The sequence below is a fragment of the Homo sapiens genome, chromosome 10, assembly GCF_000001405.40.
Source record: "Homo sapiens chromosome 10, GRCh38.p14 Primary Assembly".
Classification (NCBI taxonomy): domain Eukaryota; kingdom Metazoa; phylum Chordata; class Mammalia; order Primates; family Hominidae; genus Homo; species Homo sapiens.
The window spans coordinates 18,755,676-18,780,423 of NC_000010.11; the positions used below are offsets into that span (position 1 = coordinate 18,755,676).

At 37.7% G+C, this 24,748-nt stretch overlaps 1 long non-coding RNA gene across 3 annotated transcripts in view; it reads left to right on the forward strand.

Moving 5' to 3' along the window:
- Window positions 1-24,748, forward strand: part of LOC105376440 (uncharacterized) — a 126,250-nt gene that overhangs the window by 45,382 nt on the left and 56,120 nt on the right. For 2 of the 3 annotated variants that reach the window (XR_930721.2, XR_930720.2), the window contains 2 exons: window positions 22,617-22,689; window positions 22,801-22,909. This is a non-coding gene — a long non-coding RNA (uncharacterized LOC105376440). Of the gene's footprint in view, window positions 1-21,819; window positions 21,856-22,616; window positions 22,690-22,800; window positions 22,910-24,748 lie in introns of those variants that run through there. The other variant, XR_930723.2, reaches the window with a different exon arrangement.

Genomic DNA, 24,748 nt, shown 5'->3' on the forward strand with positions numbered 1-24,748 from the left:
TTCTGCTGTAAAACATCATGGTATAAAAACCATGCCCTTTCTTAGCCCTGGGGAAATTGGTGATCTAAAGTGTCTGAGCCTGGATTATAACCCCACTGTGAGTTCATTTCACATTGAGTAGTTGAACTCGATAAAAATATACTTGACTAAATTCTGGGCATTGATGATATTTCATTTTTGTGGGTGTTCTTAGCTTCACTGGACTAAGAAATAACCTTGTTCTGGGAGTGTAAATAACAGTCTTCTCATAGCCGCCTCATCCTTTCTCAGCTTCTGTGCTGGGTTCTCATTCTTCCTCTGGCTTTCCCAGCACAAGCGAAGTACCCTGAAATAAGAAACTTCTTTTGGAATCCTGACCTTAGCCGTCACCATCACCACATAGCAAACTGCTACAGATGTTTCTCCTTTCTTTTTGTCTTTGTATAATCATTACATTGAAGAGGCTTTGCATCCTATTGGGTTCTCACTTTTGGTTTTATTTGGGAGGAAATTATATGGCTTTAGAAAGTTAAGTAGAGTATTTTTTCCCAGTGTTATAAGCCTTCTGAAGAAATATAACAGCATGGGAGGCATACTTACATCATTTTAGAGTAGAGCCTAAACAAATAAAAAAATACTCTCCATAGGAAAATGAAATAGGACATTGTTTAATAGTTGTTACTGTAAGAGAAAATACTGGAGTTTTATATTTTGTGTAAAACATTTTTTTAATTTAATTTTTTTCTTTTCTTTTTTTTTTTTAAGAGACAGGGTCTTGCCCTGTCGTCCAGGCTGGATTGCAATGGGGCTGTCTTGGCTCACTGCAACCTTGACCTCTCAGGCTCAAGTGATCCTCCCACCTCAGCCTCCTGAGTAGCTGGGACCACAGGCATGCACCACCATGCATGGCTAATTTTTGTATTTTCTGTGGAGACGGGGTTTTGCCATATTGTCCAGGTTGGTTTCGAACTCCTGGGCTCAAGCGATTTCATTGCCTTGGCCTCCCAAAGTGCTGGGATTACAGGTGTGAGCCACTGCACCTGGCTTATATTCTGTTTTGAGACAACTTTTGATATTTCCAACAAAAATGGTAACATCACAGCAGCAATCATTTGTGTGGAAGGGTGAGCCGATGATCACCAAGGAAGTTGGTAAGTCCTAATCCAGGCGGGTTCAAGAATTAGGCTGTGATGAGGGTTGAAGCAAATAAATCTGAAGGAGCTTATTAATAAAGCAAAAGATCCTGTAGACTACATGTTATCAGATAGTATTACAATATTCCATGATGGCAAAAAATTTTTTGGTATATAATTTTCTATATAAGATATCTATAATACACAACCCATTCCCAGTGTTCTGTTCCTGAACTGCTGTATTAGAACAGTGCCTGGTGTGTAGTAAGTACTGAATAAAAGCTTTAGTGAATGAATAATTCTTGATACATTTTGGAGGTGATATTTACTGAGCAGTTACTTTGAGCCAGGCACTTTTCTAAGCGCTGATAATATGGTGGAATATACATGTACATGAGTAAAACAATTGGATTTTCATGGGGATTCTTGTTCTTCTTGCCATTGGGATTTATAAGCCATTAAACCATAGGTGGCACTTCTCCAAAAGTGGAGGATGTGTTGGAATCTGATACTTCTTCTTCTTCTTCTTCTTCTTTTTTTTTTTTTTTTTTTTTAGACAGAGTGTTTTTCTTGTCACCCAGGCTGGAGTGCAGTGTGGCATGATCTTGGCTGATTACAACCTCTGCCTCCAGGTTCAAGTAATTCTCCTACCTCAGCCTCCTGAGTAGTGAGTAGCTGGGACTACAGGCGCCCAGCACCATGCCTGGCTAATTTTTGTATTTTTAGTAAAGACAGGGTTTTACCATGTTGGCCAGGCTGGTCTCAAGCTCCTGACCTCAGGTGATCCATGGACCTCAGCCTCCCAAAGTGCTGGGATTACAGGAGTGAGCCACTGTGCCTGACCCTTATTCATTTTTTGGATTTCCTAAGATATGAAATGATATTGTATTAGCTCATTAGAAAGTTAGATTGACATTGTAGATGACATTAATTTGCCATAGATATTCACTCAAAGAATGACAACATATATCCCAAGCTTTTACTTTTAGAAGATTATTATTTAAAAAAAGCCACATGAAATAAATTGTTATTGAAGATATTTACATTTAACAGCTTTCATTATGTTGTTAAATATTCTCAATAAAGTAACTGGCAGGAGCCTTTCTCTCCTGAAAATGAGAAGTGCAATAGGTAATAATCATTTTCTTTCTTTACTTTCCATTTCATGAATAGTTTTACTATTTTTGTGGGAAGCCAAATGTTAAATTTTATATTTAGCTGATCTTCTACCAAGAATTAAAAAAAAATTTCTTTCTGACAGTTTTTAAAGGAAGTATACCTTAAGAGTCCTTAAAAAGTATGTTTTAAAGGTTGCCATGGAAATGGTAAGATTGAGAAAAATAACTATTTGGCTTTTTTTCCTTTGACTTTCTAATGACTTTATAATGAAACTGCGTATTGATTTTATAATGAAGCTACATAACTGATATTTGCAAAGGGATAATATAAGGATGAATCTTTTTACAGCTCTGGAATATAAAGGCTATTTGAAATCTTTCCCATTCCCAACACCTTCTCTTGACCCCCTCTTCTCCCATCAGCTCTTGTCTAATTTCTCTACCTTCCTCACTAGCAAACTTCTTTGAAATGGTTATAAGTACTTTCTGTCTTCTCTTTCTTTACAGAGCCCACTCCATTAGGGCCTCCTTTCCATGCTTCTATTAATACAAGTGTTTCTGTTCCACGTCCTCTGTGTAGCTAAATTCAGGGGCCAATTCCCAGTCCTCATCTTAACTTGACTGAGTAACAGCATTTGACGTCATTGGTTGTTTCCTTCTTTGAAGCTGTGTCCGTGTCTATTCACCACCATAGCCCTCCCTTTTTGTTTTATATGGACCTCATTGGGTGGCTGCTGTGCAATTTTCTCTGCTGGATTCTACTCAGCCTATCATGACCTCAAACATTGCAGTCTTGCAGGGGATAGCCTTTGGATCTTTTCTCTGTCTATATTCAGTCACGTGGTTATCTCATCTTTTTTTAAAAATCAAAATTGGTACATTTTATTTGTGTAAATTATATCTCAATAAAGCTGATACTTTATCAAAGAGTAAACTAAGTCATACATTACTTTAATTTTTAAAATTATCCGTACTTATCCTGTTGAGATATTATTATTATTTATATTTTTTTATTTCCATAGGTTACTGGGGAGCAGGTGGTGTTTGGTTACATGATTGTTCTTTAGTGGTGCTTTGTGAGATTTTGATGCACCCATCACCCGAGCAGCATACACTGCACACAATTTGTAGCCTTTTATCCTAACCCTCTTCCAACCTTTTCCCGCTGAGTCCCCAAAGTCCATTGCATCATTTTTATGCCTTTACATCCTCATAGCTTAGCTCCCACTTACGAGTGAGAAGATAAGATGTTTGGTTTTCCATTCCTGAGTTACTTCACTTAGAGTAATAGGCTCTAATCTCATCCAGGTGGCTGCAAATGCCATTAATTCATTCCTTTTCAAGGCTGAGTAGTATTCTATCGCATATATATGTATATATATATATGTATCTCACAGTTTCTTATATATATCTCACGTATCTCACATATATACATATATATGTATCTCACAGTTTATCTACTCATTGATTGATGGGAATTTGGGTTGGTTCCACGTTTTTGCAGTTGCTGATTGTGCTGCTATAAACATGTGTGCAAGTGTCTTTTTCGTATAATGATATCTATCTATCTATCCATCTATATAATGTATAAAGTACCTTTATTTTTCCTCTGGGTAGATACATCCTGAGTACAGAGATTTGGCTGTCAAAAGTTGCCTACCTTTCTTTTAAAACCTATATTTCAAAATATCAGAAAATCCTGTCAGCTTTTTCTTCAAAATATATCCTAATTTTGAGCTATCAATGATATATTTTTAGTTCAAGGCAGTTTCACTTCTTACTAGGTCTACAGCAATCAGTTTTTATTGTGTTTTTCAGTTTCTTCTCTTGCTTTCCTCACCCTAGGGCCACCAATGGCTTATAGTTTCATTCAGAATGAAACCGAAGTGCTTACCATGACATTTAATGTCCTCTATGAAATGAACTTGACTTATTTCTCTTTCTGCATCTCTTAGCAATCTTCACCTCCCCCATAGTACTTCAGCCACATTTGCTTCTTTGTGATATCATTAGTCATGCTAAGTCTTCTGGGGCTGTGACATATAGGGCTTCTTTTGCCTGAAGCACTTTAACCTGATAACTTGTTAGCACACTCTTACTTCATCCAGGTGTTTTCTCAGTGTCACCTAATCACAGAGTCCTTCCCTGCCCCTCAATCAAAAACATGGGACCTTCCAGCCTTTTCACTACTCATCCTCTTACTCACCTTTATTTTCTTTAAAGCAGCAGTCCCCAACCTTTTTGGGGACCAGTTTCTTGGAAGACAATTTTTCAGTGGATCAGAGAAAGGGGTGGGGTGATGGTTTCAGGATGATTCAAGTGCATTACATTGATTTGTACTTTATTTCTAGTGTTATTACATTGTAACATATAATGAAATAATTATACGACTCACCATAATGTAGAATCAATGAGAGCCCTGAGCTTGTTTTCCTGCAACTAGACCATCCCATCTGGGGGTGAGGGGAGGCAGTGACAGATCATCAGGCATTAGAGTCTCATAAGGAGCCTGCAACCCAGATCCCTTGCATGCACAGGTTACAATAGGGTTCATGCTCCTATGAGAATCTAATGCCACCACTGATCTGACAGGAGGCAGAGCTCAAGCAGTAATGTGAGTGGCCCCAAACAGCTGTAAATACAGATGAAGCTTTGCTCGCTTGCCCACTTCTCACCTCCTGCTGTGTGGCCCTGTTCCTAACTGCTGTGTGGACCAGTACTTGTCTGTGGTGCAGGGGGTTGGAGACCCCTGCTTTAAGTCACCTATCAATATTAATTATCTATTGATTCAGTTGACTGATGGCTACCTTTCTCCAGTGAGAGGTAGCCTCTCTGATAGCAGAGATGTTGGCTTTCTGTTTGAAAGTATATCCTCAGTGTTGGAAGAGTGCCTGACCTGTATATAGCAGGTACTCAACAAATTTTGTTTCCAAAGAATGAATGGAAGAAATAATGAATGGGTTTTAGTGTGTTGGAATGGAAGTGTTTGCCATTCTCACGTATCCATAAAATGCTGGTTGTGGCTCTATGATTAATCAACTTGATGATGCTTCACCCTGGGCATCCCTCATTCCACTGGTGAGCCCATGCAGAGGTAATGGAAGGGTCATTCTAAATGCTTTTTGCTAGAAGAGTATCTTGCTGCTTGGAGTTCTCCTGGGAAACTGATCCACTACTGCTGAGAAATGTGATTACTGTGTAGTTTCCACAGCAACACCATTGATGATCACTCCCACTCCATCAAGAATGGATCAGAGATTGAGCAGGAGCCATACTCTTCGGTCGCTTCTTCGAAAGAGCAGGATTTATTTTCAACTCTATGTAATTATTTGCTGGAACCTCATTTTGCAGAACTGTTATTTTACAGTGGGAGTACTGGGGAAAGGTATTTAAACTGCTCTAAAATAAGGACACATTGGAAGTGTTTTCTCTGTAAGGGAAATTGTCCAAATTTGACTTTTGAGTCAACATTTTTAATGGATATTTAGGGCTTATCAAAATTGCTTGCAGCCCAAATAAAACATCAAGCAGAGGGATACATTTTACTGGTAGAAATTCATGACTTCATTGGATTAAGATTTTATAGTATTTTTGTGTTCTATATCTCTTCAAGTTACAGTTTGACAGAAGTTGCATTAAATCTGCCATTTTCAGATGAATCCTGAAGATGGAGAAATTATAAATAATTTTTATAAATGATAAAGCTATGTTCTTCTTTAGCAGTGAATGCCACAGTCAAAATAAATAAATAATTTAAATGCTTATTTGAGATCAGAATTGCTTTCAGAAAAACATACCATTAAAGCTAATGACAGAAAAGTTATAATGGAATAAATATTACAACAGGAAGATGATTTAAATTCTCCAAAGGAACTTTGTACATTTTAAAATTAATAAAAATTAATGCTATTTGCTATTTCATTCATTGAAAATATTCCATGTTTAGTAGGGAAAATACTAGTTAGACTTTTGGTGATGTATTATAAAATACGATAGGTTAGAATAGCAAAAAAATATTATAAGACTATGTTTTTGAAGAATATAGAGTAATTACAAAAGGAAACCTAGAAGACAACACATTACTGAAACACTGATAATGATGGTGTGTAAAATCAAATTATTTCAAATTTAAAATTACTATAAAATTTAAAAATTTAAATGAAAGAAATGTGAACATTTTGACACATAAATTACATTTAGTTTTCATGTTTTTTCCAGTCCTTATCTAAATCCATATTCATATTTAACAGACATAGTCATAAGGCACATGCAATATTATAGCTATAGTTTTCACTTAAAATCATATATATTTTTATATCTTGCTACATGACCTTTTATGAATATCATTTTTTGTTTGCTTGTTTTTGAGACACAGTCTTGCTCTGTTGCACAGGCTGGAGTGCAATGGCGTGATCTCGGCTCACTGCAACCTCCGACTCCTGGGTTCAAGCGATTGTCCTGCCTCAGCCTCCCGAGTAGCTGGAATTACAGGTGCACGCCACCGTGCCCGTCTAATTTTTGTATTTTTTTTTTTAGTGGAGACAGGGTTTCACTATGTTGGCTAGGCTGGTCTCGAACTCCTGACCTTGTGATCTGCCTGCGTCAGCCTCCCAAAGTGTTGGGATTACAGGCGTAAGACACTGTGCCTGGCCGCGAATATCATTTTTAGTGATCACTTGCTATTTCATTCAGGAGATTGCTGGAATTTGCTTAAACTACTTTTCTAATTCTGTACTCAGTCACTTTCTATTTGCTTTCTGAGTAGGCGCTCAAAATATTTAGTTATAATAAATAACTCCCTATGTGGTATGATTGGAGTAATGACAAAAGAGATTTCTCATTTCAAAGTTTCCATGCTAAGTTATACTGTGGCCTGGATCAGTTAGCATGTTGGTTCCAGCCAAAATATAAAAAATACATTTTGAACAGAGAAGACACAACAATAGGGTTTGAACCTAGGCTCAACTCAGGAGACCAGATCTGGTGGGTTGACATTGAGAAAGGATTTTGAGTAAGGATGGACAACCCCAAGGGTCCGAGGCGACACCTCATTTGCAGTATAAAATCTGTTACTGGACAAGGTGTAAAAATTGTATGATTTTTATGCAGTTTGGTTTTATATAGATGAAAAATTTCTAGATGAAAAGAAACAGCTATAAATATTTTTTTCCTGTCTTTGGGCTGAAAGAAGTTTAAGGAGATGTTACTGATTCACAATGCATATCATAGTGTGGGCAGAAAAATAATAAATTTACCTAATCCTAAATGTACTATAACACAATAACATGACTGTGATACGGTGGTTCAAATCAGTAAAGTCAGAGCTGCACTTGTCAGTTCTGTTGTTTGTCATTAAATCATGAGGAAAATAACAATGACTAGCAAGATTTTAGACACTGATCTATTTTTTCAGATTCTTTCACAGTCCAAATGACCAAGACATCACTGGAACAAGGGTTCATTTAAATTGTAAGGCAGTATACAAGCAGCAATTAAATGATATCTTTTTCCATTAATGGCTGTGTTATAATTTAAAAGAATAATTGTTGTTCACCTATGTCCAGCGGTGGCCATTTATGACCAAAATGATAATACTCAATTTTAAGGATTTAATTAGAGCAATGAAGTAAATTGTAAATTACACAAATTGTAAATCATGTGCATAATTACAGCGGTAATTATGTTCATTTACTCATGTAAAATATTTTTTGAGCTTTTTGTGTGTGTCAGACACTATTTTAGGGAACAAAGTGGTGAATAGAACAAAGTCCTTACCCTCATGGAGTTTGTTTTCTAGTGAAGTGACATAGACACTAAACAAGCAAATACAATACACAATTTCCAGTTTTAAACACACAGTAAAAAATAAAACTAAAAACACCGGAAGAAGACCTGGTTTATATAGGGTGGTCAGAGAAATCTTTCCAAGTTTGAGATATTTGAATCAAGACCTAAAGAGGGGACAGAACCAGCCTGCCATTAAGAGGTAAAAGATGCTCCAGGTGAAAGAATCACATGTGCCAAGGTGTTGTAGAAGCATTCTGGGCATTGCCCAGGGAAAGTGATGAAGCAGATGGGAATGGAGCAGAGTGACTGAGGTTAGGAGTGGTCTGAGAGGAGACAGGGAGGTTGGGCGGCTAGTGGTGCAGATGGTGTAGGAGCTTTAGAACACTTTGATTATTTTGTTTTTTTCACCCAGGGTGAGACAGGAATCCATTACAGGGTTTTGAACAGAGGAAGGACATGCCTGGTTTGTTTTAAAAGATTGACTCTGCTGTGTGGAAAATAGGCAATATCAAGATGAGGAGCAGAAAAAGAGAGGCCTATGAGCAATCTCTATAGAAAAGAGGCAACTGTGGCTTTGACGTGGTGGAAGTGGTCAGATTCAGGATGTATTTAGAAGGACGAGCTGATAGGTCTTCAGACAGTATAGTGTGATGTTAAGTGAAACGGCAAGGACAACTGATGCTTCTGGGCTGAGCATCTGGTAGGCTGAGGTTGCCCTTTGCTGAAATACAGAACAGTGTGGAAGAATCAGTGTGGTATGGGTGCAGCTGGGACCAAGAGCTTGATTTGGGATGTGTGAGTTCATGATGCTTATTAACTATCTAAATGGAGATGTTGCATAGACAGTTTAAGATATATCTAAAGCTCAGAAGTTTGTTCTGGAAATATAAATATTTTAAGTCTGTTCGTAAAGCAAGAGCATCAGTGATATGGTTAGGCTTTGTGTCCCCACCCAAATCTCATCATGATTTATAATCCCAGGAGTTTAGGGAGAGACCTGGTGGGAAGTGGTTGGATTATGGGGGTGGTTTCCCCCATGCTGCTATTGTGATAGTGAGTGAATTCTCATGAGATCTGACAGCTTGATAAGTGGTCGTTTTTCCTGTGCTAACACACACTTGCTCTCTTGCCTGCTGCCATGTAAGACATGCCTTCTTCCCCTTCCGCCATGATTGTTAAGTTTCCTGAGGCCTCCCCAGCCATGTTGAACTCTGAGTCAATTAAACCTCTTTCCTTTGTAAATTACGCAGTCTCGGGAAATTCTTTATAGCAGTGTGAGAATGGACTAATGCGATCAGCAAAGACTGAAACTGAGTAATCATATCCCTGAAATGAAAAATGAACGTCCCAGAGTATTCAGACAGCAGCATATGGCCAACAGGGGACCGTGAATGATGATCCAGCAGATTATAATGGGCAACCCCTTAGACACACTGACCCATCTGTCTGGGAGTGCTTTGTAATCCCCTGTGATTTACTGTACTCACTTATTTTTTAATTTGTTTATTTATCTGATACCTTTTAGCAGGATATAGAAAGGGACCTGTAAGATTATCCTTCCAGACTGGTCAACTGAGGAGCTCAATAAATTGTACTGAATAGAAGTAAGTTCTATGAATCCATAAGACAAATGCAACATAGTCATCCATTTGGATAAAACATTTCTGTATGATATTGATGGCCATTCATTCTTTCACTCACAATTATTTACTGAATGCTTACTATGTATGCTTTTGTGCTCTGTGATGGGGATGGTTCAGTGAACAAAAAAGAAAAAAATTCTATGGAACTTTCATTCTGTAGGGAAGATATAGACAATAAAAATATAAGTAAAATATATATTAGATGGTGGTATTTAGAAAAAACAGACCAGGAAAATGACACTGGCTTTATAATTTTAAATAGGAAAAGGCATTATTAGGAAGGTGACATACGAAGTTTTATTTTTTCTCCCCAAATTTTATTGTCCATGGAACAATCCTCGATAGTTTCTCTACAGGTGTCTGACTACATCCTAGATGAGATTTACAACTAGCCTAAATTCTGTTGTGAATCAGCACCAGCCTCAGCTTTCTTGGTACTAGAGGAAGAAGGGTTTTGTCTGTAGTTATCTGCATCAGCTTCACCTCCAGTGAGTCTTATGGGTCACTCTTCTTCAATCTTTGGGTCATGAGATTTTCAGTGTTGGTACACAATGTTGCAGCTTTTACCATCTATTAGGGTATCACTGGATGCAAGCCATCTCTCTCCTGTTCTAGGATGCTGCAGGTCCAGTTATAGACCAAGACAAGCATCAGAGAAAAAGAGACCATGTGATAGCCTTGCATCAAGCCAATCTTGCATCAGCTTCTTGTAAATAATGCATATCTGTGCAAGACCTCCACTAGGAAGACATTCTAGAACTACAATTATTAGTAAGTGTCAGAAGGATTAGTAGAAATTGGACAGATAAGGCAAATATTTGAAGGCCTAAAGACTCTCTCTCATTTTTTTTTTTTTTTTTTGAGACAGGACCTTACTCTCTCACCCAGGTTCTAGTGCAGTGGTGTGGACACAATTCATTGCAACCTCTGCCTCCTGGGCTCAGGTGATCCTCCCAACACAGCCTCCTGAGTAGCTGGGACTACAGGTGCACATCACCATGCTGGGCTAATTTTTTTGCATTTTTTATAGAGGTGGAGTCTTGCCATATTCCCCAGGCTGGTCTCGAACTCCTGGGCTCAAAGGGATCTGCTTGTCTTGGCCTCCCAAAGTGCTGGGATACAGGCATTAGCCACCATGCCCGGCCTATGAAGACATTTTGAATCTCTCTGTTATCTATATCTGGGTATGTTCTACAATTGCTGAGTTAACTTGGAAAATGACTACCTCACTTTCAACTGCAAACTTCAAAATTTTTGAGTTAGGTATAGTGTTGAATCTTTTGATTGATGGATTTTTCAGCTTTGAAATGTTAAAAAGAAAAAATACCATATTCACCTATTATTTTTCTTCATTTCTAATTTTTGTGGGTATATAATAAGTGTATACATATGGGTATATGGTATATTTTGATAGAGGCATACCATGTATAATAGTCACATCAAAGTAAATGAGATGTCTATCACCTCAAGCATTTATCTTTTGTGTTATAAACATTATTTATGGTAATTAAAACCACCATTGGGGCTGGGCGCAGTGGCTCATGCCTGTAATCCCAGCACTTTGGGAGGCCGAGGTGGGTGGATCACCTGAGGTCAGGTGTTCGACATCAGCCTGGCCAACATGGTGAAACCCTGTTTCTACTAAAAATACCAAAAAAATTAGCCGGGCATAGTGGCAGGAGTTACTCAGGAGGCTGAGACAGGAGCATTGCTTGAATCCAGGAGGCAGAGGTTGCAGTGAGCCGAGATCATGCCATTGCACTCCAGCCTGGGCAACAAGAGCAAAACTATGTCTCAAAAAACAAAAAAACAAAAAACTGTTGTTGGATAAAGTAGAAACATGTATATATACTTATAATATTCATGCACATCTATCTTTCTATCACAACAATAATTAATGTAAAGTATTGTTTTGTTCTTGTTACTCATTGTGCCTAGGAATTTGGTTCACATGTGACTGCTAATGTCAGTGCTGCTGTGATCTCAGGTACACAAAGTAATGAATGAACACTTGGCCTCTGGAGTCCATAGATGGGGCAGAGATCAGTTCCTCACTTGTGTACTGAGTAACTTGGTAGCTAAACTCTTTTAGCATCAGTTTCCTCATCCAGAAAATGGTGATCATAAAATAATTCTCATGAGGCTGTTGGGAGGATTGAATCAAATTAGATAACATAGGTGATGTGCCTCATCTTGTGAGATATATGGAAGGCACTTAGAAAATGGTAGATGGCACAGAATGGTGGGAAGTTAATTGGATCCCAAAGGACTCATACATGTGAACTTGTCCTTCATAACTTATTCTTCAGCATTTCAAGGCTGCTTCAATACAATATACTACTCTATCATTCATCATTTTAGTGACTATCTCTACTTACCTATGTTGTACCAGTTCTTCCATTAATAAAATGAATTCATTTTTAGATATTAAAATTCTCTTTCTGATTGAATGCCATTTCCCAATATCCCCCAAGGCAATGTTTTCAAAAGTTTCCCACAGAATAGTAACACAGACGGAAACACTGCCAATTAAATGCTGTGTGGACAAAAGAAGGTTGAAAAACACTATGTATACTGTCTCTCTTTTGCAGAGTCACAGGCATAACAAGAAATCTTTTAATAAAAATATCAGTTTTTCTTAGTGTAATCTTGTATTTCCCAAGCAATTTTGCTAACTGAATTCTTTTTATTTTTACTTTATTATTATTTTTAACTGGGGGTGAAATACACATAATGTCTTAATCATTTTTAAGTGTACAGTTTAATGGCATTAAGTACATTCATATTGTTGCGCAATCATCACCACCATCCATCTCCAGGACTCTTGATCTTGTAAAACAGAAACTATACCCATTGAATTATAACTTCTCGTTTCTCTCCCCTCACCTCCAGCAACTATGATCGTACTTTCTGGCTCTATCAGTTTGACTGTTCTAGGCACGTCATGTAAGTGGAATCATGCAGTATTTGTCCTTTTGTGACTGGCTTCTTTCACTTAGTATGATGTCCTCAAGGTTCATCTATGTTGTAGCATCTGTCAGAATGTTCTTTCTTTTTAAGGTGGAATAATACTCCCTCGTTTGTATGTACTGCATTTTGTTTATCCATTCACCCATCAATGGGCGCTTGGGTTGCTCCTAACTATTGGCTATCATGAAAAATGCAACAAATGCAACTATGAACATGCGTGTACAAACATCCTATGAAAGAGAACCTGCTTTTAATTTTTTGGGTATATACACAGAGGTAGAATTGCTGCGTCATCTGGTAATTCTGTTTAATATTTTGTAGAACTGCCATACTGCGTTCCATGGTGGCTGTGTCACTTTACATTGCTCTAACAGTGCACAAGAGTTCCAGTTTCTCCAAATCCTTACCAATACTTGTTATTTTGTGTTTGCATCTTTGTTTAATAGTAGCCATCCCAAAGGGTGTAAGGTGTATCTCGTCGTGGTTTTGACGTGCATTTACTTACTAATTAGTGATGTCTAACATGTTTTCATGTACTTCCTGGCCATTTGTGTAATTTCTTTGGAGAAATATCTGTTCAAGTCCTTTGCTTATTTTAAATTTTTTTTTCTTGTTCAGTTGTAGGAGTTACTTATATGTTCTGGATATTTATGATTTGCAGATGACTTTTCCCATTACTTAGATTGCCTTTTTGTTGATTCTGTCCTTTGATGCACAGTAATTTTAAATTTTGATGTAGTCTTGTTTATCTGTATTTCTTTTGTTGCCTGTTTTTGGTGTCATATCTAAAAAATCATTGCCAAATCCAATGTCATCAAGCTTTTCCTTTATGTTTTCTTAGGAGCATTGTAGTTCTAGATTTTATGTTTAGATCTTTGATCCATTTTGAGTTAACTTTTGTCTGTGGTGTAAGGTAAGGGTCCAACTTCATTCCTTTGCATGTGGACATCGCGCTTTCCCTGCATCATTTGTTGAAAAGATTGTTCTTTCCCCATCAAATGGCCTTGGCACCTTTGTCCAAATCATTTGACTATATATGTAAGGGTTTGTTTCTGGGCTCTTTATATGCCTGTCTTTATGGAAATACCACACTGTTTTGATTATGGTAGATTTATAGTAAGTTTTGAAACAGGAATTGTGAAACCTACAACTTCGTTCTTTTCTTTCAAGATTGATTTTTTTATTTGGGGTCTTTTGAGATTCCATATGAATTTTAACATGGTTGTTCCTAATTCTTCAGAAAATCCCATTAGGATTTTGATAGGAATTGCATTAAATTTGTAGATTGCTTTGGGTAGTAATGACATTTTAACAATATTGATTGTTCCAATTCATAAACATGAGTTGTCTTTCACTTGCTGATTGTATTAATCTGTTCTCATGCTGCTAATAAACACACACCTGAGACTGGGTAATTTATAAAGAAAAGAGGTATAATGGACTCACAGTTCCACATGGCTGGGGAGGCCTCACAATCATGGCAGAAAGTGAATGGGGAGCAAAGTCACGTCTTACATGGCAGCAGGCAAGAGAGTGTGTGCGGGGGAACTCCCATTGATAAAACCATCGTATCTCCTGAGACTTATTCACTACCACAAGAACAGTATGGGAGAAACCGCCCCCATGATTCAATTATCTCCACCTGGCCTTGCCCTTGACACATGGGGATTATTACAATTCAAGGTGAGATTTGGGTGGGGACACAGTCAAACCATATCATTAATATCGTCTTTAATTTCTTTCAGTAACATTTTGTTTTCAGTGTACAAGTTTTCACCTGCATAGTTAAGTTTATTACTAAGCATTTTATCCTCTTTTGATTCTATTGTAAATATAATTGTTTTTCTAATATCCTTCTGGGATTGTTCATTGTTAGTGTATAGGAAGCAAAGGATTTCTGTTGAGTTCTTTTTATTCCCACATAATATCTCAACATCCTTTAAAACTGGTGTTCTGAAAAGCACAGTTTACTACTCAAAGCAATAAGCTTTGGAAATACCACTCAAAGGGAGATACTTTTTGTTGTTATTATTGCTGTTGGAAAATCTTTCTTTCAGCTTATTTGCTTTTTCACATCATTTAGAGAGCTTTGTTGATGTCGTTTGTAACATTTATGATGAATCATGTTCTTATTTATTTTGAGGAAAAAGCCCTAGAATATTTGAATAATATCATAGTTGAATAAAAGTTGATTTTTTTTTTTTGAGACAGAGTCTCACTTTGTCACCCAGGCTGGAGTGTAGTGGCACAGTCTCAGCTCACTGCAACCTCTGCCTCCTGGGTTCAAGCAATTCTTAGGCCTCAGCCTCTGGAGTAGCTGAGACTACAGGTAGGCACCACTATGTCCGGCTAATGTTTTTGCATTTTTGGTAGAGACAGGGTTTCACCACATTGCCCAGGCGGGTCTTGAACTCCTGAGCTCAGACAATCCACCCACCTCAGCCTCCCAAAGTGCTAGGATTACAGGCATGAGCCACTGTGCCTGGCCAATAAAAGTTGATTTATTCATCAACCAGATCTCAATATTTACTTGCATTTTATTATTATTATTATTTTTTGAGATGGAGTTTCGCTCTTGATGCCCCAGCTGGAGTGCAATGGCATGATCTCGGCTCACTGCAACCTCCACCTCCTGGGTTCAAGCGATTCTCCTGCCTCAGCCTCCCAAGTAGGTGGGATTACAGGCACCTGCCTCCATGCCCGGCTAGTTTTTGTTATTTTTAGTAGAGATGGGGTTTCACCATGTTGGCCAGCCTGGTCTTGAACTCCTGCCCTCAGGCGATCCACCCGCCTTGGCCTCCCAAAATGCTGGGATTACAGGCATGAGCCACCACTCGCGGCCGTACTTGCATTTTATTAATTCAAGAGTGAAAAGTTCGAATGTGAGTTTTACTGCATGTGAACTATATGACTTTGCACATTGTGCTTAGTAATTCTGCACCTAAGCTTTCTAACCTGTAAGACATAGTAACAACACCAAACACCAAATGTATTTTTGTTATAATCAAAGAAGATTTTATATCTATATATTTATAGATATATTTCATTTTAGGCAGTGTTTTGGATTGAAGATGAACAGTGTGTATTATATTTGTACTTTGCTATGGGTTCTATATGTTCTAAGTTAAAATATTAAAAAACTTTTAAACATTAAATCTCTTAGTTCATGGAAAAATGAAGAAATACATGCAAATGGTAGGGTTTGAAATACCATTAATTTGTTTCTATAATTTAGGCTTGTCAGTATTGCTAGACTTATTAATTTCTTTGACATTGATCAAATGTCTGTTGTTTGAAAGCACAAAAGTCAATTGTATTTTCTGAGTAGGGGCATCAGATGAGAAGTTCCTAAACATGATTTCTGAGAAACATTGAGCAAACTAGTAAGTGAGAAAGAATCAGGTCCTTACTTCTTGGCAGCAGTCTTCCCTTCTCTTCATTATAAAACCCAACTGTTTTTTTTTTAATTTAGGCCTATGTATAATGTAAGAATTAATTCATTGAAAAGGATAAAACACCATTGCTGCACTTCAAATCACTGACTGTAGAGACTAGTAATCCATAGAGATACGACCTGCTATCTTTTCTCTTTCCCTTATTCAAGGTTGTGGAACAGATTTCCCCCAAAGATTGCTATTATTTTTGTCTTTAATCTCAGTCCTTTCATAAGAGTTTAAACTAACTTCTTATTGCTACCTTTGGAGGTGGCATTGCTATTATCTCTGAGGTGATAACGGGCTTTCTGCTGCACAGAATATTGTTGCAGTCATTTCCCAAACGGCTTACCACCTAAGCAGGAAATCCCATTCTAGGGTAAAATATCTTAAATGAGAAACATCACCAGTGCCCGGTTACTTATTCCCTAACTATGGTTAGAAAGAGATTTTAGTTCCTTGAGAAGTCCTTCTGTTATGAGCGGGGGATCAGCACTTGTGTATCTCCTAGAGGTGTCCCTGGTTTTCTGAATGTGTAATCTGGTGTCTGCAGGCAGCTTTGCTCTGTGCTTATGGTCAGTGAGAGGGCTGCATTTAGTATCATCAGTTCACCCTACTTGCCAGAGCCCTCCGTCCCAGCAGTGTTGAGAAATAGCAGTTTTCTCTCTAAAATGACAAATGTTGAAGAATGCATTCATCCTCTCATTCTTTTATTTGTTGATTTACTTATTTGTTTATCAAGATGTGGCCAGGTGTAGTGGCTAATGCCTGTAATCCCAGCACTTTGGGAGGCTGAGGCAGGTGGATCACTTGAGGTCAGGAGTTTGAGATTAGCCTGGCCAACACAGTGAAACCCCATCTCTACTAAAAATACAAAAAAATTAGCTGGATGCTGTGGTGCATGCCTGTAATACCAGCTACTTGGGAGGCTGAGGCAGGAGAATTGCTTGAACCCGGGAGGTGGAGGTTGCAGTGAGCTGAGATAGTGCCACTGCCCTCCAGCCTGGGAGATAGAGTGAGACTAGGATCTCCAGAAACAAACAAACAAAAAGAATGTACAATGTGTAAGGCATTTCTAGGGGTACACAGATGAAAAAACTATCATTTTTGACCTCAAGGAACTGTCTGTTGAGTGGTAATAAATATGTAACTCTCCTACATTGTGAATAGTACCAGCACACACAGGAAAGACAACTGCAAGGTGGTGGGGAGGGAGCTTACGGTTGAGATTGGAAAAGAGCTGAGGAGGGTACTGAGGTGGGAAGACAATGGAGAGAGGCTTTCAGAAGGGAGGGAAGTGTTGCGTCTCCATCCTTGAGGCTGCAGATGATAGAGAATACCTGCCTTTCTGGGACAGTGGAGGGGCCGGAGTGATTGGGGTGGAACTTTCCCCTGCCATTCCAAGGGGCCTGAGGTCAGGGCATGGGCAGAACTCCAAGGTGCCACCTCCACAACAATAAAGTGATTCCTTCCTTCAATCAAACAGACCCAATTACTGGGAGGAAAAAAACCAAGACATTCTAAACCAAGCCGTTTGACAGGAGAAAGTTAAAATAGTCACCATGTCACTGCTGGAGTCAAGCCTCAACCCTCTGACAGGTTTTTAACAGGTGAAATCTATTCCATTAGTAATTCCCTATAGGACACCATGACAGCTGCCTGAGCTCCCAGTTCCCATGTTTGCGCTATTATTTTCCTGAGGCCCCGTTGTTTTCCTTAGGCCCCAGATACAAACTTGGGATAATCAACAAACTAATTTTGTCCCCTTTTTCGTGAACTCCCCAGCAGAGAATTACTCCACTTTTTTCAGCTCCAAGACACTGCCTTATCTGAAAGATGCTAATAGGATGGCATCTGCGTAGACAGGGATCATAAATATTCAGATCAATTCCATGTAGTACTTGTTATGTGCTTAGCTGTGGCTCTGACAAAAGATGAGTAAAACATAGTTGTAATCCTCAGAGAAACAGGGTAATTGTTTGTGGGGGGAAATGAGGAGATGCTAAAAATTAAGCATGAAGGACTCTTATGTTTACAGGAGAATTCTACACCAAAACGCTAAAATTCAGGGAGATACATAGCAAAGGACCCAAATGGGCCCACTAGAGAAGGAATTTTAGTATATATGTGTGGGGTAAGTCAGATCGGTGTGGGTTTGTGGTAATACAGGAAGGCTTTATGAATGAATTGGGACTTGGTCTTTAGGAATGAATAGGAGTTGGGTCGACAGAGTGGTTGGTGAGAGGACATTCCAGAAGGAGAAGCAGGACAGCAGAGTGTTGGGAGAAGGACACGGGCATGAAGCTCAAGGAGAGAAGGACACAGCCTGATTGATTTAAGTGGGGCAGGGAAAGACAATGTTAGGAGTGACATGTTACCACTAAATTATGGGAGGCTATAAAGATGAAATGGTTGCTCTTATTTTTTTTTCCCAGAGAAATTAGAAGCTGTTGAAGTTATTTGAGCAAGAGACTTGTGAATGAATAAATTTACTTATTAATTTCTTGGAAAAAAGGAGTGCTTTAGATGCTGAGAAGCAAGAAGCTAGGGAGACCAGTTGGGAGACTGATTTAGCAGCTTTAGGGGAATGAAATATTCTTGGATTCAAGTTGTGGCAATGAGGACAGAAATGATTAGAAAAAAATAACATAAGCCTGGACAACATGGTGAAACCTGTCTCTACAAAAAATACAAAAATTTCAGCCTGTCACCAAAAACAAAAAACAAAACAAAACAAAAAACCCAAAACATAGCACTATGATGTGCCAGATGCTTTTCTGTCTTTTACCATAATTATATTACTTATTTACTCCTTGGAAAAACTCTTAATGAGGTATGTAAAATGTAATCGTTCCCATATTGGTGTAATTGTACATACCTCACCCATTTTATAGATCGGAAAACTGAGGCAATGAGCAGTTGTGTAACTTTTCCGTGGCATGTGGCACAGCCTCGATCCAATCAGGCAAACTGATGACACAGTCTGTACTGTTAAAACTGCTAAATCCTTTTGCCTCTGGGATGGGTAAAGGGGCTGTTTATGAAGAAACACAGATAATATTTGGAAAATCTATAATGTATGGGAAGACAGGCAGCATCACTCTCTGGATAGCTTTTAACTGTTTTTTCTTTAACATATTGTGTTATTTGAATTAAAGATATATAATATACTTTTAAAATAGAATGATGGGAGATAAATTTAAAAATTTCTGTGATTTGATTTTAAAGGAGTAGAGAAAACTTAAATCTGTTTATTCAAATGCTTCTAAAATGATAGGTTTTTATATTTTCTAGGAATAACTTGTGCATCTTGAGGTGTTGATTTGTCAGAAATGCAATTTGGAATTGTAAGTGTAAATGATTGATTTATACTATGTCTTGAACCCATATGAGGCCTTCTGTTCATAACACATTAGTTGATGGTAGGATTTGTAGCAAAATCCACACATTTTCCTTATATGGTGGGCAATTTGCCAGAAAGCTTTTGGGTAACTTGCTAATGTGCCAATAAATAGCCTGTTTTTAGCTCCGCTATCTTAAGAATACTCCATTCTTATATTTGAAGACATAAAAAGACTATAGGGAAGAGGATTTTTATCACTTCCTCAGTTCTTACTCTTTATTTAAGTGGGGAATTACATTTCTAAAGAAAAGACAATCTCTCATTCGGCGTTGGTTACTAAGTATGTCGTTTTCGTCTTTCTTTGGGGGAAAATTTTAAGTTGTTTTATAAAAATTCTAATAGTTTTATTAGATTACAAACCAACCCTGGAAGAACATTTCCATTAATATAATATTTGACTGGATTTGTGTTTCTGAGCTTAATGATGGGAGAGAGAAGATATTAAAGATCTCAAAATGAATGTTTGAAAACATTTTACTGGTCTTGTCCTTATTATAATTTCTTTTTAACTTTGTTCTGGTTTAAAGCACATTTTATTTCAAACAAGGTGGATACATAGGAGTAAACTTTTATTTGATAAATTTTTAAAGAAGAACGGAGAATAGTCATTAAAGTGTAATAGATCAGGATAACTTTTATTTTTAAGAGAATTGAAATTTTCTTTGTTATACAGATAATTTTGGACATGTTGGGTATTTTAGTGCAAAGATTCAAGCTCTTTCTTACATTTGTGGTTATTTGCAAAACAGGAGAAGAATATTCAAGGCTCCTGATGAAAGAAGCCTGTCTTTTCAGGAAAAACACTTCTCTTTCCAGGCATTTTCAGAATTTGCTTTGGAAATTTTGTTGGTCATTTAATTCTTGTTCGTGTTATCTAATGTAATCGAGTTATTTCATTTCCATGCAGGAATATGTGGCTTAATAAACCATTTGTAACAACACTTAGAATTTCTAAGTGAAAGACTTTAGTGTTCCTATATGTAAACACAACAGGCAAGTTAACTTCAGAATTGCTAGGAGATAAAACACCAGACTAATTTTTGTGAAGTCTTGACTCACTAGATTTACCTAAAGGAAGGAAAAAGAAAAAGAAATAAAACCGAAATGAAAAGATCTGTTTGTCTTCAAATGATATTACTCAAGCAGTAATATCATCTGATATTTACTCAAGCAGTGATTGCTGTGATTTAAGTTGCAAGTTTTGTGACGTGTAAATAAAATCAGATTTATGATAGCAAAAATATAGTCTGATAAGTTGCTGTGTATATTGATGACCTTCTAGTCATTGTAGATCTTAGGATAAGGAATATAGTTTCTCCATATGCATATTATTTCAATATTAACATGATAGGAAAATGCAGAAGTTTAGTTATGACCTAGTGCCAAAGTTGTACAGGCCTGCATGAGTTGGTAAAAAGAAAGTACACTGGGAGGAAAAGTAATAAATGAACATTTAAATTATATTTCCAATTATAAAAACAACACAGTGGCAATATCAACAACATGAAAGTACAGAGAAGCAGAAAGATGGAAGAAAAACTACCTATAACTCACAACCTGGAAACAACTATTGTTAACTGTATTATATTTCCTTCCAGAATTCTTTATTCTGCCATATGAATACAACTGATTGGAATCATATTTAATTATATATTTTTCTTTATTTGTTTTTCACTTAACATTGTATCAGGACCATATCATTAAAATTTTTTGAACATTTAATTTTTAATAGCTGCAAAATAATCAGGATATAATGTGTTATAATTTATTTAATTACTTCTTTATTTGGACATTTGGTTCAATTTCCACTTCATCTTTGTTACAAATAATGGGTAATGACCATCTAGATATATACATTTTTGTCATCTTCACCTCATTGTTTCCTCTGAGTTGATTTCTAGAATTGGAACTACTGGGTTATTTATTCATTTAATCATTCTGTTACGGTAGGTAGCTAGTCAGGCATGAGCAGGGCAGGAGAGGCCCCCCACCCCCACCAGGAATGTCAGGTGACCATCAGGCGGTGGTCAGACTGTTGTTACACTAGTTCTCTAAAATAATTGGTCACAGCTGGTGTCAGGGAAAGGCAGCCTCCTAATAGATAGAAAACACCTGAAACTGGTGATCAGCAGGTTCCCAGTAAGATCTAAGGATTTGGGTGAGTGGGCACAGGCATGCCCATTAAGAGGCCAAATAGCAGCAGTTAATTGGTATATGGCCTCCTAAGTATATTTGACTGGTAAGGGAAGAACACTTCAAGTGAGCGTGCATGTAACTCCAGTAAAGACACTGCGCATGTTCACCTCTCAAGTGCTAGCAGGCCATTGCGCATGCGGACAGCCCACCTCCAGGGAAGAATCAGAGGAGAAGGGACGGAAGGCCTCGGAAGTATGCCAACATATAAAACCCTACCTCAAAGGTCAAATGGGGCACTTGATCTCTCAACTCGCCTGCTTTGTCTTCTTCCGAGTGTTCTTTCCTTCCTTTCATTCCTGTTCTAAAGATTTTTAATAAACTTTCACTTCTGCTCTAAAACTTGCCTCGGCCTCTCCTTTTTGCCTTATCCCTCTCAGTTGAACTCTTCTGAGGAGGCAAGAATTGAGGTTGCCTCGGACCCGTATGGATTCATGGCTGGTAACAATTCCTGCGACAAAAACATTTTCGAATGCTAACTTTGCGCTATAAAACATTTTTTCCAGTTCAGCTGTTTTTAAAGTTTATTCACAAAGTTATGCAACCATCACCACTATCTAATTTTAAACATTTTCAAGTCCTCAGAAATACATTCTGCTGCCTCCCTTCTCCATACCCATTCAAGTGTCACTGTCCATTCTGCCTTTTCCTCATCCCCTGTAAACCACAGAAACCATGAGCTTTCCATTTCTAGAATCTGCCTACCCTGGAGATTTTATATATATATGTGCAATAAAACGTTTTTAAGTCTTTTGATACAAGGTGTAAAATTGCTATCCAAAGTGACTCTGCCAACTTTTTGATGCTTATGCCAAACATAACTACCTCTTGGTGTTTCTGCCCTCATGTAGTCCTTTTCCTAATGAATAGCATCAACCTATGTAAACCAACATGTGGTTACAGAAACACAGACTGGTCATAAAGGCGATGATGGCATCTGCTTTGCTTCCTCTTAGATCTCCTGCCCTGGGAGAAGCCAGCTGCCATATCATGAGAACGTGTAAGCATCCTTGAGGAGCGGTCCATGTGGTAAGTGAGGTACAGAAGGCTCCTGCCAAGAGCCAGCAGGGTCTTGAGTTCTCCAGTCAACAACTGTAAGCGTGAGCCATTTTGCAAACAGATCCTTCATTCCTCACCCAGCTTTCCAGTGACTGCAGCCCTGGCCAACCTCTTGATGGCCTCCTCATGAGAGCTGATGAGCCAGGACCACCCAGTGAAGCCATTCCTGGATTCGTGTCCTGCAGACACGGTAAGATAATAAATATTTAATTTGCTACATTTGGGGGGTAATTTGTTACACATCAATAGATAACTAATACTCATTCCTATCAGCATTTGTAATAGAATTCTTGCTGATGTTGTCATTTTTTCAGTTATTTTGGCAGATAAAAATCATCTTATTGTTTTACTTTGCACATTTTGGTTAATAGTTTTCTCATGTTTATTAATCATTTTTTTCTTCTTCCAATGGTGATTTACATTTATCCATTTTTCTGTCAGGGTTTCAGTTTTTATTCCTTTAGGATTTGCATTTCTGCTAAAAACTAATACAAAAGCAAAGTTATCAATAGGGGCCATGAAGAAGCCTCAGAAATGCACAATTCATAGATTTTCTTAGATTCACAAAGTGACAAGATTTGGGCAACAAATTATGCTTAAAGATGATGTTTGGCATTTCACCTGGTAATATTTGCTTCTTTGGTAACTGAAGCAAAATGTGGAAGATTTTGTATTCCAAAAATGCCACAGCAGCATTTCCCAACCTGCACCATGAGTTTAACACTCTTCCCACTAAGTGCTAGGGTCAAGAGTGGCCTTGAATCTGGATGGGCTAGGGACTGTGCAGCCAGGCCATGTGACTTTTGAAGGGGAATCATAGAAGATGCTATAGCTCCTGCCTGGATTTTTTTTTTTTTTTTTTGATGCTCATTCTTAGAGCTCAGATACCCCGATGTGAGGAAATGCAAATTAGCCCACTTTAAGAGGGCACTTTGAGCGTCTACTGTAGGTTTTCAGCCAACTGCCCAGCTGAGGTTCTAGTCAACAACCAGCACCAATGGCCAAATATGCAAGTGAAGTTGCCTCTGCATGATTCTGGCTCCAAGGAATTGAGTCACCTCCAACCTTCTAGTCTTTCCAGCTGAGGTTGTAAATTTCTTGGAGCAGAAACAGCCAAGTGCACTCTGCTTTGTCTGAATTCCTGACCTAAAGAACCTGTGCATGATATAATCATGTTGCTTTATGCTTTTAAGTTTTAGGTAGTTTGTTATATAGCAATAGGAATTGGAACAGCTACCATATAAGGAAAAGTAGATTGGTTAGACATTTTATTATTGTTTAAATTTTTTCTTTGTATTTCTATACAATGTCTATACAAATGGTTAGGTATTTTTAATCCACGTTTTAGGATGCTCAGGACATACAGGCAAAGAGAGAGGGGAGTGGTGTTTTCAGGATGTATTAATTGGGGCTTTCTATTGAAACAGAGCCAATACGATGGAGATATATGCGTGTGTGTGTATATCTCTATACATATATAAATATAACATTTATATATAAAATTATATTAAATTATTATATATAATTTATTATATACAATATATTTCATATAATTATATTTATAAATATATAATATATAAATTATATATTATAAATTATATAAATTATATAATTTAATATATATACATTATATGTATTAAAATTTTAAACAATAATAAAATGTGTAACCAATCTACTTTTCCTTATATGGTAGCTGTTCCAATTCCAGTTGCTACATAACAAACCACCCAATATATAATATATATATATATATGAAATTGGCTTATGCAATTGCAAGGCTGGTATGTCCCACTATCTGCCATCTGCAAAGTGGAGAACAAAGAAAGTATTTGGTATAATTCAATCTGATTCTGAAGGCTTGAGAAACAGAGGATGGGAAGGGTTGGGTAGGGTGCTGGTATAAGTCCTGAGTCAGAAGGCCTGAGATGTCCGAGGGCAAGAGAAGATGAATGTTCCAGCTCAAGAAGACAGAGGACTCACCTTTCCTCCACATTTTAATTCTTTTCAGGCTCTGACTGTTCAGGCATTG